Source organism: Homo sapiens, chromosome 7, assembly GCF_000001405.40.
Source record: "Homo sapiens chromosome 7, GRCh38.p14 Primary Assembly".
Lineage (NCBI taxonomy): Eukaryota > Metazoa > Chordata > Mammalia > Primates > Hominidae > Homo > Homo sapiens.
Genome location: NC_000007.14, coordinates 29986696 through 30005724, shown reverse-complemented (window position 1 = coordinate 30005724; position 19029 = coordinate 29986696). Strand labels below are relative to the sequence as shown.

Genomic DNA, 19029 nt, shown 5'->3' with positions numbered 1-19029 from the left:
AGCACACTGTGGATTCCTTTGTTTCCCAGTCCTCTGTGCTCCTGAAGTGCTAATGAAGCCTTTGTTATAAAATGGATGGCTGTAGTGAGTATGTCAGCCCATAATCTATAAAACCAGTCTAAGTGCCTGTGAGCTAGACTAACGTCAATTTTGTTTTATGATCATCTAAAAACAAATGACATGAGATATTTGCTGAGATTTTACTCTAAAAATCCAGAGTAAAGTGGATCCCCTTGGTCTCTAGTAACAGTTAAATTATATCCCACTTGGGCATTTCTGGGAATTTATAAGTTTTTAATTAATTCAAAATTCCACACTGCAGTAGCATAAAGATAATTTCCTCTCCAGCAAACAATTGTAGTAAAAACAATTCCATGCACAAAGTAAATTGAGGTATTGAGAAACAGTTTTCATTATTATAAAGAATGAAATAAGGATAGGGAGACCCACTGGGGCTTAGTTCCAATTTCATGTAGCATTTTTCTCATTCATTTGTTGGACTTATTCTGCCAGAATGTATTTTATGTTAATATAACTAAATCTAATTTTTACCTCTCGTGAAGAGACTAGGATATTATAACATTCAACCACATATTGGTGATTCTCTTCTATTACGGTCATATCTGCTGAAATTGTTATATAGCTATTTTTTTGCAAAATATATTAAGACATTCCAGATTTTTAAAGTGGTTCTTTAGTAGTTAAATTTAATTAGACTTAGGTAGACTAACCAAAAGGAATAGTAGTACAAATACAAGGTGATTTGCCTTTAAATAAGAGACAGCATTGTACTTATAGGAAAATAGGGAAAAATTTAAAAAAGGTCTTGCAATGAAATTCCCATTTGGAATTGTCAAATTTCCCCAGATTATAATTGTTCTCTCCTGGTGTCTTTATATCAATAGTTCCTTGAGAATATTCACTTAAGTTTTTCCTTATATTATTTTGGCTAAATTTTATAAGATATTATCTTTCACAAAATGTCATGTACTTTCCTTGCCACATATGGTAATAGTCAAGGTTTTCGGTTTTGTATCATAAATTTTAAAGAAAACTAAGCAGCCTACTAACGTTAATTAACTCTTACATTAAGACTGTGCAGTAAATCAACTCTGCTCCTTGGATTTTTTTCCTAACGCTTTATTGCTATGGCAATAATATCTTCAAAACTGTTACCTCTTACCTGTTTTCCTCAGCTAGTGAGTGTTCAACTGTTATCTAATATTTCTTTTTTAGGGGGTGAGGTTATTTTATTTTTTATAAAATTAATATGTACTACAATGTTTTTTTTACAGTTCAATAAATTTTGGTATATTCAGAGTTGTGCAACCATCAACACAGTTACTGTTAGAACATTTCATCACCTCAAAAAGACATGCCCATGCCCATTAGCAGTTATTCCTCACCTTCCCTAACTCCCCCAGCCCTAAGCAATCACCAGACTACTTTCTCTGTGGATTTGTCTAGTCTGGACATTGTCTAGTACTTTTTTTTTTGAGACGGAGTCTCGCTCTATCGCCCAGGCTGGAGTGCAGTGGCGCGATCTCGGCTCACTGCAAGCTCCGCCTCCCGGGTTCACACCATTCTCCTGCCTCAGCCTCCTGAGTAGCTGGGACTACAGGCGCCCACCACCAGGCCGGCTAATTTTTTGTATTTTTAGTAGAGACGGGGTTTCACCGTGTTAGCCAGGATGGTCTCGATCTCCCGACCTTGTGATCCACCCGTCTCAGCCTCTCAAAGTGCTGGGATTACAGGCATGAGCCACCGCGCCCGGCCTGTCTAGTACTTCTTAAAGCTCAGTCCTTTCTTTGTATGCAGAGTAAAGCTAAAAGGGAGATTATCTGATAAATTCATTTGATGGTAAGATAGTTTCCACCTTTAATTTTTATTTTAATATGATAGGTGCTTTTTGAAATTCAAAGGTGAACAAGACACTGATTGCAGCTCTACAGGATCTAGAACCAGCGGTACAAGGGATATAATAATAATAGTAAAAATCCAGGGTTAGGTTTATGATTAAGGGTAGAAAGTCAATGAAAAGGAAAGTGAAAAATAATCAGGAATTTAAACACTAAAATATTTTCATGTATCTAGATTATTCCCAATTCTCTGAAAGTCAGGCGATTCATCTGACATGAAATAAACTAATACTAGTTTTTCTGTGGTTCATGGAAAATACAAGGATGCCTCAAACAAAATATTCTTTCTCTAGAGTCAGAGAAATTTCATACATGGAATCACTGGGGTTTTTTGTTTTGTTTGAAACTAATAAACTCTGTCTCCCAGGCTGGAGTGCAATAGTGCAATTACAGCCCCATTCCAACTTCTGGGCTCAAATAATCTGCAGGCACACACCACCACGCCCGGCTACTTTTAAAATTTTTTGTAGAGACGCGGGTCTCGCTATGTTACCCATGCTGGTCTCAAATTCCTGACCTCAAAAGCTCCTCCCACCTTGCTTTCCAAAGTGCTAACAGTTGTGAGCTACCATACCTGGCCAGGAATCCTTTAATCACTCATAGCATGAATGAAGTCTTCCTTTAACTGAACGCCAATCTACAGCAATTTAAGCAGACTTTGTTTAGTTCTCTGAAGAATTAGAAAATTGCAACTTTTGTTTAAAGTTTTATATTATTAATATCTTAAGTGAGCAGTGGTCTTAAAATTGCAGATATAAGAGAACCAACTTTTACAATTCTGGCTAAGCCTTCATCTGTTAAAAAGTAGCTTCAGATGTCACTAGAATATTAAAAAGCCCAATTTAAAAACTGCATAAAATGAAGTGGATGTTTTCCACACATGTAAACTAGAAAAAAAAAAAAAAAAAAGGAAGAGTTCGGTTGAAATTCCCAAGTCTGACCGTAGAATCCTCTAGGCAGCTCTTGGATGATCACTAGACCAGGTCTCAGCAATTCCCCTTTAAATTATCCATATAATTGGCTAAACCCACAGATGACTCCTAGAGGTGTAGGAATGCGTGTGAAGCATACATATTTGGTTTTAAAGCTAGGTCTAGAACATTCATGAACTCTATCTTATTTAAAATTTATTAGGAGTCATTCATTAAGATGACATATTTGAATTATTGAACTTATAAACCCGTCACCCAATAATAATGAATACGATCTTACAACTTCCCTTTGCCAAAATACAATTTATGGCTGTCTATATATCTAAAGGGCTTGATGGATCATTTCATTTCTAAAAATAATTTAAAAATAGATTTTAACAACCTAAAATCTATTTGTGTTGCTTAATATGAATAGTAATTCTGTAAATTGATTTAAGGACATTCTAAAGGTCTATTACTATGGTAACCAAATTCAGAAAACTAACCTCCTAAACACAGTTGTCACAGGATTAAGGCAGGTGGCTGACTAATCTTGACTAGTGCTTTTCTTTCTCATTTTCCCCTGGCTTCTCTGTCAGCTTCTTTGTTTGGTTCTCATAACATTATACATAAAGCAATTATGCAGGCTTTCTTACCCATACATAAGTGCCTAATTCACACAGCACTGTCTGTAGTCCATTCCCATGAGGTTTGCCCAGTGACAGGTCTTTTTTCCTCCTCCCATTATTATACACTGAAAGAAGTACTAAGTGGAAAATACCTCTATATGCAATGTGTTAAAGGCATTTCGCAATTACACCTACGGCACTTTAAGCTCCTCAAAATCTATGCATAGTGTTCTTCAGTCAATCAATAACACTGGTTGGAAGACAAGGCAAAATTGTCATATATAATTTTTTTAATGGTCTAGGTTTGAGTAACCCTCATTTATGGCTATTTAAGAAAATATTTTTAATAAAAGGAAGTTTTGAGAGAGATGGCCATCTTTTAAACTTGCTTACATTTCCTAATATGTCAGATCCGTGTATTTATTTTTGCATAACCTTTGTGTTACCCTGACAGCAACATATAATTAACGTCTAATTATGTTACCTCTATACTTAATTTCCTTGCTTGTCTCTGACATCTTGAGAGGAGAGGCTATGATATTCCTTTTTTTTTTTTTTTTTTTCTTTTTGAGATGGAGTCATGCTCTGTTGCCAGGCTGGAGTGCAGTGGCGTGGTCTCGGCTCACTGAAACCTCTGCCTCCTGGGTTGAAGTGATTCTCCTGCCTCAGCCTCTCAAGTAGCTGGGATTACAGGCACGTGCCACCACGCCTGGCTAATTTTTGTATTTTTAGTAGAGATGGGGTTTCACTAGAGATGGGGTTTCACCATGTTGGCCAGGCTGGTCTTGAACTCCTGACGTCGTGATCCGCCCACCTCAGCCTCCCAAAGTGCTGGGATTACAGGCGTGAGCCACTGCGCCCAGCCCCCTTTTTCATTCTTGTAGCAAGAGTGCAATTTTTGGTACATGTGTCAGATAAATATTTCTTACTGGTATGTTGAAGAGGTTCTATAAATAGACTGTACATTTGTATTTCCTAAATAATGGGTCTAGTTGAGTCTACACCAGGACATTTGGTTCCTTAGAGGCAATAAGATTTGTGCTCCTAGGCTTTCACATCTGCCTATGAAGGAAAAACTGCTATGGGACTTGCTGTTCTATTGTGAACAACTAGAAAACTGAGCAAAATGCATGAAACAATTGTTGTCAGACATTGGATGACAGGCAGAGCATTTGTTTCCTTTCTCTTGTGATCCGCAAGAGAAAGGAAACAAATGAGACAACCACCCAGCTTTCTGCTTGGAGGCAAAGAGAAGGGACAGTGATATGGTTTGGCTATGTTTCCACTCAAATCTCAACTTGAACTGTATCTCCCAGAATTCCCACCTGTTGTGGGAGGGACCCAGGGAGAGGTAATTGAATCATGGGGGCCGGTCTTTCCCTTGCTATTGTCATTATAGTGAATAAGCTTCATGAGATCTGACGGGTTTATTGGAGGTTTCTGCTTTTGCTTCTTCCTCATTCTTCTCTTGCCACTACCAGGTAACAAGTGCCTTTCACTTCCCGCCATGATTCTGTGGCCTCCCCAGCCATGTGAACTGTAAGTCCAATTAAACCTCTTTTTCTTCCCGGTTTCAGGCATGTCTTTATCAGCAGCATGAAAACGAACTAATAAAGTAAATTGGTACCTGTAGAGTGGGGCATTGCTGAAAAGATACCTGAAAATGTGGAAGTAACTTTGGAACTGGGTAACAAGCAGAGGTTGGAACAGTTTGGAGGACTCAGAAGAAGACAGGAAAATGTGGGAAAGTTTGGAACTTCCTAGAGACTTGTTGAATGGCTTTGACAAAATACTGATAGTGATATGAACAATAAGGTCCAGGCTGAGGTGGTCTCACATGGAGATGAGGAACTTGTTGGGAACTGGAGCAAAGGTGACTCTTGTTATGTTTTAGCAAAGAGACTGGCAGCATTTTGCCCCTGCCCTAGAGATCTATGGAACTTTGAACTTGAGAGAGATGATTTAGGGTATCTGGCAGAAGAAATTTCTAAGCAGCAAAGCAGTCAAAATGTGACTTGGGTGCTGTTAAAAGCATTCTGTTTTAAAAGGGAAACAGCATAAAAGTTCAGAAAATTTGCAACCTGACAATGCAGTAGAAATCCATTTTCTGAGGAGAAATTCAAGCCTGCTGCAGAAATTTGCATAAGTAGCAAGGAGCCTAATGTTAATCCCCAAGACCATGGGGAAAATGTCTCCTGGTCATGACAGAGACCTTCACGGCAGCCCCTCCCATCCCAGGCCAGGAGGCCCAGGAGGAAAAAGTGGTTTCGTGGGCTGGGCCCAGGGTCCCCGTGTTGCGTGTAGCCTAGGGACTTGGTACCCTGTGTCCCAGCCACTGCAGCCGTGGCTGAAAGGGGCCAATGTAGAGCTCGGGCTGTGGCTTCAGAGGGTGGAAGCCCTGGCTTTGGCAGCTTCCACATCGTGTTGAGCACTGGAAAAAGGCCCAACACCAACACTCTTTAAAGCAATACAAAAAATAAATTCATCACTCAACAACATAAAATTCACAAAGCCTGGCATCTGAATTGGAAGACTGGCACAGAAACAGGAGATCAATCAATCATCAACAACAGACTAAAAATTGACAGAAATTATGAAATTAGCATACATGGTCTTTAAAATAGCTATTAAAATATTATAAATATGATCAGGGATTTAAAGAAAAATACATATGAAAGGAATGGGTAATATAAAAAGAACCAAACTGGAGGCCGGGCACGGTGGCTCACGCCTGTAATCCCAGCACTTTGGGAGGCCGAGATGGGTGGATCACGAAGTCAGGAGATCAAGACCATCCTGGCTAACACAGAGAAACCCCATCTCTACTAAAAAAAAATACAAAAAATTAGCCGGGAGTGGTGGCGGGCGCCTGTAGTCCCAGCTACTCGGGAGGCTGAGGCAGGAGAATGTCGTGAACCCGGGAGACGGAGCTTGCAGTGAGCCGAGATCATGCCACTACACTCCACCCTGGGTGACAGAGCAAGACTCCATCTCAAAAAAAAAAAAAGAACCAAACTGAGCTTCAAAAAAAGAAAAATACTACATTACTGCTATAAAAATTTCACAGATGATAGCAGATTAGAGGCTACAGGAGAAAAGATAACTAAATTTGAACAAATACCAAGCAAAATTATTCAAAATAAAGCACAGAGAGCAGAGACTAAAAGCAGAAGAACAAGAACCTCAGTGATGTATGGAACAATATCAAGTGGCCTAACATACGGGTAATCAGAGTTCTTGAATCTGTGAGGGGAAGGATGCACTGGATAAAATATTTGAAGAAATAATGGCCCAAAATTTAAGAGGAATGATAAACCTACAGATCCGAGAAACTCAATAAAGCCTAGGTGGGATAAACACAGAACATACCAAGATACGTCATAATCATATTCCTCAAAGCCTGAGATAAAGAGAAAAATCTTAAAAGTAGCCATAGGAAAAAAGATATAAGCAGGGGAAGAAAGGTAATCAAACACAAACTTTTCTTCAGAAATTATGCAAGCCTTATGGCAATGTCTTATGAAAATTGAATGGTTCCTTTAAGTGTTGAAAGAAAAAAGTTCTCAACCAAAAACTACATACTCAGCAAAAATACCTTTCAAAATTGGAAGTGAATCAGTGAGGTGAGGAGACAACCCACAGAATGGGAGAAAATATTTCCAAACTATTCATCTGACAAGGGATTAATATTCAGAATATACAAGGAATTCAAATATCTCAACAGCAAAAAACAAATAATCCAATTTAAAAATGAGCAAATAACCTGAATAGATATTTTTAAAAAGAAGACATACAAATGGCCAATAAGTATATGTAAATATGCTCAACCTCTCTAATCATCAGGGAAATGCAAATCAAAATCACAATGAGGTATCATCTCACCCCAGTTAGAATGGCTGGTATCAAAAAGACAAAAAATAACAAATACAGGCAGAAATGCAGAGAAAAGGGAACTCTTCTATACTGTTGATGGGAATGTAAATTAGTACAGCCATTATGGAGAAAAGTATGGGGGTTTCTCAAAAAAACTAAAAAAGAGTCACCATATGATCCAGCAATCTCACTACTGGATGTATATCCAAAGGATTAAATCAGTGTCTCAAAGAGATATCTGCACCCCCAAGTTTATGGCAGCACTGTTCACAATAGCCAAGATGTAGAATCAGCTTAAGTGTCTATCAACAGATTAATGGATCAAGAAAATGTGGTAGGGGCTGTGCACAGTGCTTCACACCTGTAATCCCAGCACTTTGGAAGCCTGAGGTGGGTGGATTGTTTGAGCACACGAGTTTGAGACCAGCCTGGACAACATGGCAAACCCTGTTTCTACAAAAAATAGAAAAATTAGCCAGGCATGGTGGCACATGCCTGTAGTCCCAGCTACTAGGAAGGGTGAGGTGGGAGGATCACTTGAACCTGGGAGACCCAGGCTGCAGTGAACCATGAAGGTGCCGCTGTACTCCACCTGGGAAACAGAATGAGATCCAGTCTCAAAAATAAAAAATTATTGCTTGTAGGAGGCTATCCTTTCCACTGTAGAATGTTCAACAGCATTCCTGGTCTTTATAAACTAGATGCTAGTAGAGACTTCCTCAACCTCTGCCATTGTGACAACCAAAAATGTCTCCAGACATTGCCAAATGTCCCCTGGGTCCAAAATTGCCCCTATTTGAGAAACACTGATTAAAACACTTCAATTAAAAAAGTAAAAAAATGTCATATTGAATGAAAAGCAAGATCCAATTATATTGTATCTACAAAATCCCACTATAAAGACAAACACAGTTTAAAAGTAAAACGATGAAAAAATGTACTATGCAACCGCTAATCAGGAGGGTGACTTTGTTAGTATTAGACTAAGTAGACTTCAGGACAATAAATATTACCAGAGAGAAAAAAGAGACATTTTAAAATAATTCATAGCAATCCTAAGTATGTATGTACCTCCTAACAGATCCTCAAAATACAAGATGCAAAAATTGACAGAACTAAAAGAAATAGAAAGATCCACAAATACAGTTCAAGGCTACAGCAATCCTCTCTTAGTAACTGATAGAACAAATATGGAAAAAAAAATCTATACGTAATAGAAGACTTGAACAATGCTATCAACCAACTTGATCTAATTGATTTTTATAAAACAGTACCCTCAACAACAGCAGAATACACAGGTTTTTAACACACACATGGAAAATTCACCAAGATGGTCCATAGCTAGGCCATAAAACAAAAATACCCATGGGGAAAAGAAATATGAGAACTTAGAAAATATGAAAATGAAGTGAAATAAAATGAATGAAAATGCAAATACAACATGTGGTATGAGGAAAATGGCTTCCTAAAAGATATCTACATCCTAATTCCTGAAATTTGTGATATTATCTTATATGGCAATAAAAAGGACTTTATGGATATGATTAGGTTAAGGATCTTGAGATGGGAAGATTATCCTAGATTAGCATGGCGGTCCCTAAATGCAATCATATGTATCCTTATGAGGGAGGCACAGGAAGATTTGATCACAGAGAGTTTTGAAAGCTATGTGAAGACAGAACAGAAAGAGAGATTGGAAGATGCTGGCCTAGAAGATTGCAGTGATGTGGCTACAAGCCAAGGAATGCTAGCAGCCACCAAATGCTGACAGAAGCAAGGAACAGATTCTCCCTGAGAGCCTCTGGATGGTGCCAGATCCTGTCAATACCTTGAGTCCATCCCAGTAATACTGATTTCAGACATCTGGCCTCCAGAACTGTGAGGAAATGTTTGTGTTGTTTTGAGCTAAGCCACCAAGTTTGTGGTAATTTGTTATAGCAGCCAGAAGAAACTAATACATAACATATCAAATTTGGAGGATGATGCTAAAGCAGTGCTTAGAGGGGAATTTATATCTTTATATACTTATATAAAGTTTATTTTTAAAGGTAAAGGTTTATTCCTACATATACTTTGAAAAGACAAAGAATCTAAAATCAATGATCTAAGTTCTAAGAAGCTAGAAAAAGAAGAGCAAATTAAACTCAAAGTAAATAAAAGAAAGTTTAAACAATAGAGAAAATCAGTGAAACTGAAAACTGGTTCTTCAAAAAGATCAGAGGAATCAATAAATCTCTACTGGACTAATCCTTAAAAAGAAAAAGACACAAATTTCCTAGAGAAGTGCAGAGGAGGAGACACTGCTACAGATGCTATGAATAATAAAGGATAATAAAGAAATACTATAAATTATTTTTTCCAATAAATTCACCAACTTACATGAAATGGACAATTTCCTTGAAAGACACAATTTATCAAAATTGACTTAAGGACAAATGAAAAACCTGAATAACCATATGTCAATTAAGAAATTTATTCATACTTTAAGATATTTTCACAATCAAAACTGCATTCCAGGTTGATGAAGTCATTAGCAAACTCTATCAAATATTTAAGGAAGGAAAAATACCAGTCCTACAAATACTCAGAAAATAGAAGAGATGGGTACACTTACCAGCTTATATTATGAAGTCAGTATCACCTATACACCAAAACCAGAAAAGAATACTATGTATCAATCTATATGCCAATATCTCTCATAAAAATAGGCACAAAAATGTTTTGCAAAATATTAGCACATTCAACCTAGAAATATATAAAAAAGATAATTCATCATAACCAAATTGAGATTTATCCCCCAAATGCAGTTAAACATTTGAAAATCAATTAATGTATTTTATCGTATTTACAGGATAGAGGATAAAAAGCATTTCATCATCTTAATAGATGCAGAAAAAGCAGCTGACAAAATTCAACACTGATTCATCATTAAAAACAAATGAAAAAACAAATAAAACTATCAGCAAAGTAGGAAAAGAAGGAAACTTCCTCAACATGATAAATGGTATCTGTAAAAAACTCTACAAATAATATCATACTTAGTGGTGAATGACTGAACTTGTTTGTTCTCACTGTTCCTCTATAGCATTAAGTAGGTCCTAGCAAATGCAATAAGATATGGAAAAGAATTAAAAGGCAAATAGATTGAAAAGGAATAACTAAAAATGTATTTTTAGTCAACATGATTGAGTACAGAGAAAATTCTAACAAATGATGAAAAAGTTAATAGAATTCATAAGCATATTTAGTAAAGTCATAGGATATAAGGTCCATATACAAAAACCAATTGCATTTTTATATTCTAGCAATGAACAATTGAAAAATAAAATTTAAAATGATTAGTTACAATAACACCCAAAAACATGAAATAATTATTAAATAAAATATGTCCAAGACCTGTATGCTGAAAACTCTAAATATTTGCTGAGAAAACTTACAGACAACCTAAAAAAATGGAGAAATATACCATGTTCATAGATTGGAAGACTCAATATTATTAAGATGTAAATTCTCCTCAAATTGGTCTATAGATTGAATGTGATTCCAGTCAGCATTTTGTATAGGAATTGGCAAGCTGATTCTAAAATTTATAACCAAGTGCAGAGTACCTAGAATAGCCAAAACAGTTCTGAAAAAGAACAAACTTGGAAGACTTAAGCTGCCTGACTTCGAGACTTGATATAAATCTATAATAATCAAGAGAGTATAGTATTGGCATAAGAATAAATACATAGCCGGGCATGGTGGCTCACGCCTGTAATCCCAGCACTTTGGGAGGCCGAGGTGGGCAGATCGCCTGAGGTCAGGAGTTCGAGACCAGTCTGACCAACATGGAGAAACCCCGTCTCTACTAAAAATACAAAATTAGCTAGGTGTGGTGGCACATGCCTGTAATCCCAGCTACTTGGGAGGCTGAGGCAGGAGACTCGCTTGAACCTGGAGGGCGGAGGTTGCAGTGAGCCAAGATTATGCCATTGCACTGCAGCCTGGGCAACAAGAGTGAAACTCTGTCTCAAAAAAAAAGAATAATTATGTAGACCAATAGAATGGAAGAGAGAGTTGAGAAATATACCTACATTTACACGGTCAATTGACTTTTGTCAATAGCATGGTAAATCCTGGGGGAAAACAAATGGTGCTGGAACAATTGAATAGTCACATAAATAAACTTGGAATTTTACCTCCACTTATTCAAAAATTTACTTGAAATGGACCATGGTCTTAACATAAGTGCTAAAAAACTATACATCTCTGGATGTAAACATAGAAGAAAATCTTTGCAACCTTGGAGTAGGCAAAATTTCTTAGGACATAAAAAGTATTAACTATAAAAGAAAAAATATTGATAAATTGAGCATAACAAAATTAAAATCTTCTCTTCAAAAGACACCACTAATGAAAAGCGAGACATATACTGAAAGAATATATTTGTAATACATAAATATGATAAAGAACTTGTATCCAGATATAAGGAATTCTTAACATGTAATAATAATACTAATTAAAAATATAAAACTTTTTAACAGGCAAAAGACTTAAACACTTTCCAAAAGAACATATATGAATGGCTAACAAGTATAGGAAAAGTTGCTCACCATTATTAATCAGCAAAGAAATATAGGCTGGACATGGTAGTTCATGCCTATAATCCCAGCACTTTGGGAGGCTGAGGCGGGTGGCTCATGAGGTCAAGAGATCAAGATCATCCTGGCCAACATGGTAAAACCCCATCTCTACTAAAGATAGAAAAATTAGCTAGGCATGGTGGTGTGCAGCTGTAGTCTCAGCTACTCAGGAGAATGAGGCAGGAGAATTGCTTGAACCTGGGAGGTAGAAGTTGCAGTGAGCCGAGATCGTACCACTGCACTCCAGCCTGGAGACAGAGTGAGATGCTGTCTCAAAAAAAAAAAAAAAAAGGCAATATAAATTAAAACCACGAGGAGATTTCAGTACACATTTGTGAGAATCGATAAAATTTAGAAGATTGATAATAGCAAGTGTTGATAAGGATGTGGAGCAACTGGAACTCTCATATATTTCTGATATAATGTAAAATGGTAAAAACCACTTTGGAATACAGTTTGGCAACTTTTTATAAATTTAAATATACACCTGCCGTATGACTCACCCACTTCACTCTTAAGTATTAGGTTGGTTGGTGCAAAAGTGATTGCAGTTTTTGCCATTTTTAAAACAGTAATGGCAAAAACTGCAATTACTTTTGCACCAATCTAATGTTTACCCAAGAGAAATGAAAACCTACACTTACATAAAACTTGTAGATAAATATTATTAGCAGCTTTATTCATAATTGTTCCAAACTGAAAACACTATTAGTATCTGTGGTCATCACTGAGTGTACCCTCCAGACATGTTTAGCAGACAGCCTCTAGCTATAATCTCCTTCTGCCTCAGCTGCAGAGAGTAACCTCTGTAGGGATCATGTCCTTCTCAGGGCGGAAGAGAAAAAAGGAAATCTGTTATACTTGTATTTTTTAGCTCTTAAGTCTCTGAATATGACTAGATGGAATATAAATGACCGTGTAACAGTTGCAAGTCATTTAAGACATTTTTTTTCCTTGCAAGCTAGCTCATGGAAATCTTATAATTTACTCAAAGTTAAACCTCACATAATTGATAGAGGCCAATGATTAAAGCCCTTACTGATATTTCTTGGTGTTCTCCACATTTGTTGGACAGTTCTGTTCTCTTATCTCTATTTATGCAGCTCAAATAATAGTAGGGACTGTCTTTTGGATACAAAGCAGAGACAAAATAAGTGTATTGCTGCTGGTTTTTGTTTTTTAAGACGGAGTCTCACTCTCTCACCCAGGCTGGAGTGCAATGGCACGATCTTGGCTCACTGCAACCTCTGACTCCCTGGTTCAAGCTATTCTCCTGCCTCAGCCTCCCAAGTAGCTGGGATTATAGGCACGCACCACCACACACAGCTAATTTTTGTATTTTCAGTAGAGACGGGGTTTCACCATGTTGGCCAGGATGGTCTTGATCTTCTGACCTCGTGATCCACCCGCCTTGGTCTCCCAAAGTGCTGGGATTACAGGCATGAGCCACCATGCCCGGTCATTGCTGCTGTTTAATAAGCGTTCATAGTGCCATATAATAAGCTTCTCCATGCAGACCCTGGGGAAAGCAGGTGTCTTTCAATCTCCATGTGTTCCTGGGCTCCTGGCCTCAAAGCTCCTGTGGCTGTGTAGGGACAAACCAACAGGCTTCAAAGATCTCAGGCCAGGCAGGCAGGTTGGCAGTATCCCCTATCCGTGTACTGAGCATATGGCTGCCTCCAGGGGAGCAGCGTAGGGTGCAAGTGCCATCCTTTACACAACAAATGACATATACTGGCTATAGGAAGGCACAGGATTGCATTTGCCTTTCTAGTAGTGGTGTAGTCTTAAACTAGACATTTAAAACAGTGACTCTGGCTGGGCACGGTGGCTCACGTCTGTAATCTTAACACTTCAGATGGCTAAGGCAGGAGGATCATTTGAGTCCAGGAGCTTGAAACCAGCCTGGGCAACATAGTGAGACTCCATTTCTACAAAAATATTTTAAAAAGTAGCTAGGCATGGTGGCACATGCTTGTAGTCCTATCTACTCAGGAGGCTGAGGTAGGAGGATCACTTGAGCCTAGGAGGTAGAGGCTGCAGTGAGCCACTTCCCTCGAGGCTGGGTGACAGAGCGAGATCCCATCTCAAAACAAACAAAAAATAAAACAGCGACTCTGAGACTTTTAAAAAAAGTTTAATATTTATTTTAAGTTCTGGGGTATATATGCAGGATGTGCAGATTTGTTATATAAGTAAACGTGTACCACGGTGGTTTGCTGCACCTATCAACCCATCACTTAGGTATTAAGCCCAGCATGCATTACCTATTTTTCCTAATGCTCTCCCTACCCACACCTCACGGACTTTCAGACTTTAACATGCAAGAGAAACAACTAAAGAGCTTGAAAAATGCGGGTTCCCTGGCTCCAGCCCCAGAGACTCTGAATTCCATAGATCTGGGCTGGAACCCAGGAATAAGCCCGCTAGAAATTTCTAATATTGATTATTTAGACTCATTGGCTACAGTTTTCTTGGCTAGACTAAAAGAACAGTAAAGTACCTTTGTGCTCCAAGAGTCTACGAACCAATGCTCTATTCTGCAGTACCTACACCAACTTCCTCAGCCCTTCCCCACTATCCGTTTACTCATGTGTCAGACTGTAAGCACAGGCTCAACATTCAAAGGGCATGGAAAAAAGTCTCCTTCTCTCCCCAGCACCCAGTCTCCCAGTTCTGCTCCCTGGTGGCATCTATTACAGGTTCTTACGTACTCTTCCAAAGATACTCTGTGCATTTACAAAAATAAGTACAGACATACATATATATTTTCTTCCCACAAATAACACACACAACGTTCTGCACCTAGCTTTTTATTTTTCTTTAGTTAGTATAGGTTGGAAATAGTTTTGTATTAGCAAATAAAGATCATTCTCCTTTTTAAAGGAAGCTGGATAGTAGAGGCAGGCGGATTGCCTAAGCTCAGGAGTTTGAGACCGGCCTGGGCAACATGGTGAAACCCCATCTCTACTAAAAATCAAAAAAAATTAGCGAGGCTGGTGGCGTGGGTCTGTAGTCTCAGCCACTTGGGAGGCTGAGGCACGAGAATCGCTTGAACCCGGGAGGCGGGAGGCGGGAGGCGGGAGGCAGGAGGCGGAGTTTGCAGTGAGCCGAGATCCTGCCACTGCATTCCAGACTGGGCGACAAAGCAAGACTCAAAATGTTTTGATTTTTGTTAATCTGGCTGGTGGAAGATGCTACCCCACATATTTGATTTGCAGTTAAGTGAGCCTGAATATCTTTTCGTGTGCCAGGATAGAATTGCATTTATTTTCCTCTGAATTACGTCTTCATATCTTTTGAGATAGTCTTTTCTTATTTACTTATAAAAGATGGAGTTGACGCTGGCATCAACACACACACACACACACACACACAGACACACAACACACAAGTCCCTGTACATAACTTTATTAACCCAGATATGGAATCTTGGCTTAGTTACGTGCTGTGTGACCTTGGGCAAGTTACTTAACCTCTCTAGGCCACAATGTCCAAGTACCTGGGACAGGGTCTGGCTTACCAACATGGTACAGGACGGCACTTTTAAAACCAGGGACTCGACTTGGACGTGCGAGTCAACAAGGTACAGGACACATTTCTCTCCGGGGAAATCTTGTGTGGGCGCCGAGGCCCGGACGTAGCAACCAAACGTCGGGAAGAGGCGCCAAAAGGATGCTGGGCCTGGCTCCTTGAAGCCCGGGTTTTCCCTTTTGAGAGCCACAACCAAGAAATAAAAATCTAGCAAAGAGGGGGCCACTTTCTGCGGCGAGATACGCCCTCTCGGCCGCTCCTCCAGCTCCCAGGCCCCCTCCCTACTCGACGGTGAGCAGCGCCGCGGCCCGTGCAGCCAGACGCGCGGGGTGCGGCGGGGCCCCGGGGGCCGGGGTGGGGGAGGCGGAGGGTGGGCCCGCGGTCACGTGAGTCGGGCCAGCTGCTGCGGGGGGCGGCGGGCCCCAGCGCCGGGAGTCTGGGTAGGGGGAAGCGCCCGGCGGCCGCCTCCGCCACTGCAGCTGCAGCCCCCGAGGTCGCCGCAGTAATCCGGACCCGGCAGCACCCGCACCCTCGGCGGCCGCAGCCTCAGCACCGCAGAGCGGAGAGCGGAGCCCGGAGCCCGCCGCCCCAGGTGAGCCGCGTCTGGGAGCGCAGGGCGTTTGCAGCGCTGCTTTCCCGGCGGTTTCACCCCACCCGCCATCGCCACCTCCTGCGTTTCATCTCCTCCCGCTGTCCCTCCGAACCCGCGGGTAGCGTTACCCCAGGCCGATTCCCGGTGCTGGCCCGGGCGGGCTGGGAGCCTGGGGGCGGTCAGAGGAGAGGTGGCCTCGGCCTGAAGCCGGGGTGACTCGGCTCGGGGACTGCGGGGGTGCAGTGGAGGGATGCCGGCCCCGGGCTCCCGCACCGCAGCCGGGTTCCCCGCGCTGCTCTTCCTGGGTTTCCTTTTCCTGGCAGCCAACCTGCTGCCCACTGGGATGTGCCTGTGGGCCCCTGGCCTCGCCACCCTGGGGTCTGGGGCGAGCCGGGCACCTTCCCCGAGGTGCCGTACCTGCTGCGCGGGCGGGCGCCGCGAACATGGCTGCCCGGAGACGCCCGCCGCCTTCGGCCCGGCTCTGCCAGCGCGTCCAACTCGCCCGCGGCCGCCGCACCGTGTCCCGGAGCAGCCCTCCCCGCTAGGCCGACGCGCGCGGGCCGCCCCTGGGTTCTCCGCGGGCCGCGCGTGGGACTTGACACAACTTCCCTCGAGCCGCACCCGGGCGTTCTCCGCGGGGCGCCGGGCGGGGCTGCCGAGAGGCCGGCTTGGTCGGCCTCTGCCTCCTCGGCTCGCTCTTGAGGCGTCGAGTATTTGGCGACCTCACTCGCGAGGGCCGAGAGAAATGTGGTCTGCAAAGCAGGAGGGGCGCTTGAACTTTAGAGAATTGGCGAGAACTCGGATTTGGGAATAAAAATGTCCATGAAAACATCGAAGGAAACTGTTACCTGCTTTGACTCAAAGCTGACCTTGTAGGGTTCTGTTAAATAACGTGGCTTTTCTGGATTTTCTGTCTGATTCTAGCATGCAAGTCCTTGACTTACGCTTGCGTCCGGCAGCCGGGTGGGGTGGGTGCGTGCGTGTGTGTGTGCGCGTGTGCGCGTGTTGTGTTCCCAGCCTGGTTAGAAGATGCATCAGTTGCGGAGGAAACCTATGCTAATTCAAAATGGCAGCATGAAAAATAGGCCAGGCGGAAGCAGCACAGACCACAACCATCAGCTGCCCCCTGACTTAAGCCTCAGGGAGGGAATTAGTGTGAGTCAAGGCTCATCCGGGTATGGAGTAGAGAGTGATTCTTGGAGCTGGCTAGATTTTAGGGTGCTGCAGGGTCCTGGGAGTTGTTAAGTGGGAAGTTTGGAGAGCTGTAATTATTTTTCCTAACTTATCAAAAGATGATACAAAACCTAGTTAAAACTCTACGGTTTTGTATGATTTTCTCCAGGCTCAACTAAAGTTGACTCTGTGGCTGCTGATGTCTTTTTGATGCACAACCTGGAGGTCGTTTGATACCTACAAGCTCTTAAAAGAGATGTGTGCACATTGTAAACATCATCCAAGAGCAGTGCACATAACAAATACCAGGTTCTTAGATCAAGTTTCATTGGAAGAACTGATTTAGCGACACGAGGAAGCACCCAGGCATGAGGAAATGGGAAATTCTTGAAAGGTGACTCATTTTAGAATTTTTTTTTTTTAAACAGCCTTTCTTTCCCTTTTCACTTCCGTGCTGCCAGCCATCTTGTCTTTTGGGAAGGAGATACATGAGGAGGCAAATGCTTCAGGGATAATGGAATAGAGGAGGATGAGCTAAGGTCGGGGGGCAGAGGTGGAGGCAGTCTTAAGGAGCCTGCTGTCAACCCCCTTTTTACAGCAGGAAGGCTGAGGCCAGCGGGGCGAATGGACGCCAAGATCATATATCTGGCTGTCAACTGGCAGTGAGAACCCAAATCCAGGTCTCATAACTCCCCCGGGTTCCACATGCTACCTTTTAGAGCCTGGGGGAGAACAGCAAGTCTGTCATTATTAGGAAGGCAAACACTTCGAGCAATGGGAAGCCAAACTGTAATATGAATTACAAAGTCTATAGGTGTTTAAAGTCAATGACAACACCTTAATTTCCTAATTCAAGACTTTTAACTTCTTAAGCTGTATCTACCTCATGTTCACATTTTCCAGTGGTGAAACTGTTTCTATAGTTAAGAACCAAAAACATTATTTTAGTAAAGTCTTTGAGGCAAGAAGTACATTTTTTGATTAAAAATTGAGTTGCTTGTGTTTGTGGAGAACCATTAGGCCAGTTTATTTTGAAAAGGAACCAAAGTAGGCCATGCATTTCATTTTTTTCGACTGTTTCTAATTTTAAGTAAAAGTAAATAACAAGCCTATTGTAAACATAACTTTGAAGCAGTGAAGACAGGCTTTTCCTATGATTTGCATTTGACTTTTCTGAGTCATGAGTCAGTGACCTTAGATCTACTAAAGCAGAGCTAGAAATTGTGCATGGGTTAGTGTGAAGAGGTGGTGAAGATGTGGAAAACGTTTCTTCTGGGCATCTGAACCTTCACAGCCAGTGATGTGCAGAGGGAGAAGGTGGCAGGAGGCAGGGAACAGGGAGAATGTCTTGAGGCAGTGGAACAGATAGGAGCTAAATATGAATATATATATCGAAGTGAAGACAGATGCTGATGTGACATGTGCCATTTAGAAAACTAACTTGCAGCCGGGCGCGGTGGCTCACGCCTGTAATCCCAGCACTTTGGGAGGCCGAGGCGGGCGGATCACGAGGTCAGGAGATCGAGACCATCCTGGCTAACACGGTGAAACCCCGTCTCTACTAAAAATACAAAAAATTAGCCGGGCATGGTGGCACGCGCCTGTAGTCCCAGCTACTTGGGAGGCTGAGGCAGGAGAATCGCTTGAACCCGGGAGGCGGAGGTTGCAGTGAGGCGAGATGGTGCCACTGCACTCCAGCCTGGGCGACAGAGCGAGACTCCGTCTCAAAAAAAAAAAAAAAAAAAAAAAAATTAAAAAAATTAGAAAACTAAC

General features: G+C 41.4%; 1 protein-coding gene and 1 long non-coding RNA gene across 5 annotated transcripts in view, besides 4 other annotated features; one reads left to right on the top strand and one right to left on the bottom strand.

Moving 5' to 3' along the window:
- The window catches only part of FKBP14-AS1 (FKBP14 antisense RNA 1), a 38586-nt gene extending 21517 nt beyond the window's left edge, over positions 1 to 17069 (bottom strand). Inside the window, exon 1 of the long non-coding RNA NR_187577.1 lies at positions 16932 to 17069. This is a non-coding gene — a long non-coding RNA (FKBP14 antisense RNA 1). The remainder of the gene's footprint in view (positions 1 to 16931) is intronic.
- SCRN1 (secernin 1) overlaps positions 15436 to 19029 on the top strand; it is a 70187-nt gene continuing 66593 nt past the window's right edge. For 2 of the 4 annotated variants that reach the window (NM_001145515.2, NM_014766.5), the window contains exon 1: positions 15924 to 16083. Coding sequence is in view for 1 of the 4 variants with exons in the window: in NM_001145514.1 (NP_001138986.1) it covers positions 15485 to 15543 (59 nt within the window). In the remaining 3 variants the exon portion in view is untranslated. Of the gene's footprint in view, positions 15544 to 15606; positions 15783 to 15923; positions 16084 to 19029 lie in introns of those variants that run through there. The other 2 variants (NM_001145514.1, NM_001145513.1) reach the window with 2 other exon arrangements.
- Positions 15798 to 16137: a silencer, noted in NCBI's record as "silent region_18052". NCBI's record gives its function as "represses an Ori minimal core promoter by ATAC-STARR-seq in GM12878 lymphoblastoid cells {active_cell/tissue: GM12878}" and the evidence as "EXISTENCE:reporter gene assay evidence [ECO:0000049][PMID:35858748]".
- Positions 16158 to 16207: a silencer, noted in NCBI's record as "silent region_18051". NCBI's record gives its function as "represses an Ori minimal core promoter by ATAC-STARR-seq in GM12878 lymphoblastoid cells {active_cell/tissue: GM12878}" and the evidence as "EXISTENCE:reporter gene assay evidence [ECO:0000049][PMID:35858748]".
- Positions 16218 to 16487: a silencer, noted in NCBI's record as "silent region_18050". NCBI's record gives its function as "represses an Ori minimal core promoter by ATAC-STARR-seq in GM12878 lymphoblastoid cells {active_cell/tissue: GM12878}" and the evidence as "EXISTENCE:reporter gene assay evidence [ECO:0000049][PMID:35858748]".
- Positions 16578 to 16697: a silencer, noted in NCBI's record as "silent region_18049". NCBI's record gives its function as "represses an Ori minimal core promoter by ATAC-STARR-seq in GM12878 lymphoblastoid cells {active_cell/tissue: GM12878}" and the evidence as "EXISTENCE:reporter gene assay evidence [ECO:0000049][PMID:35858748]".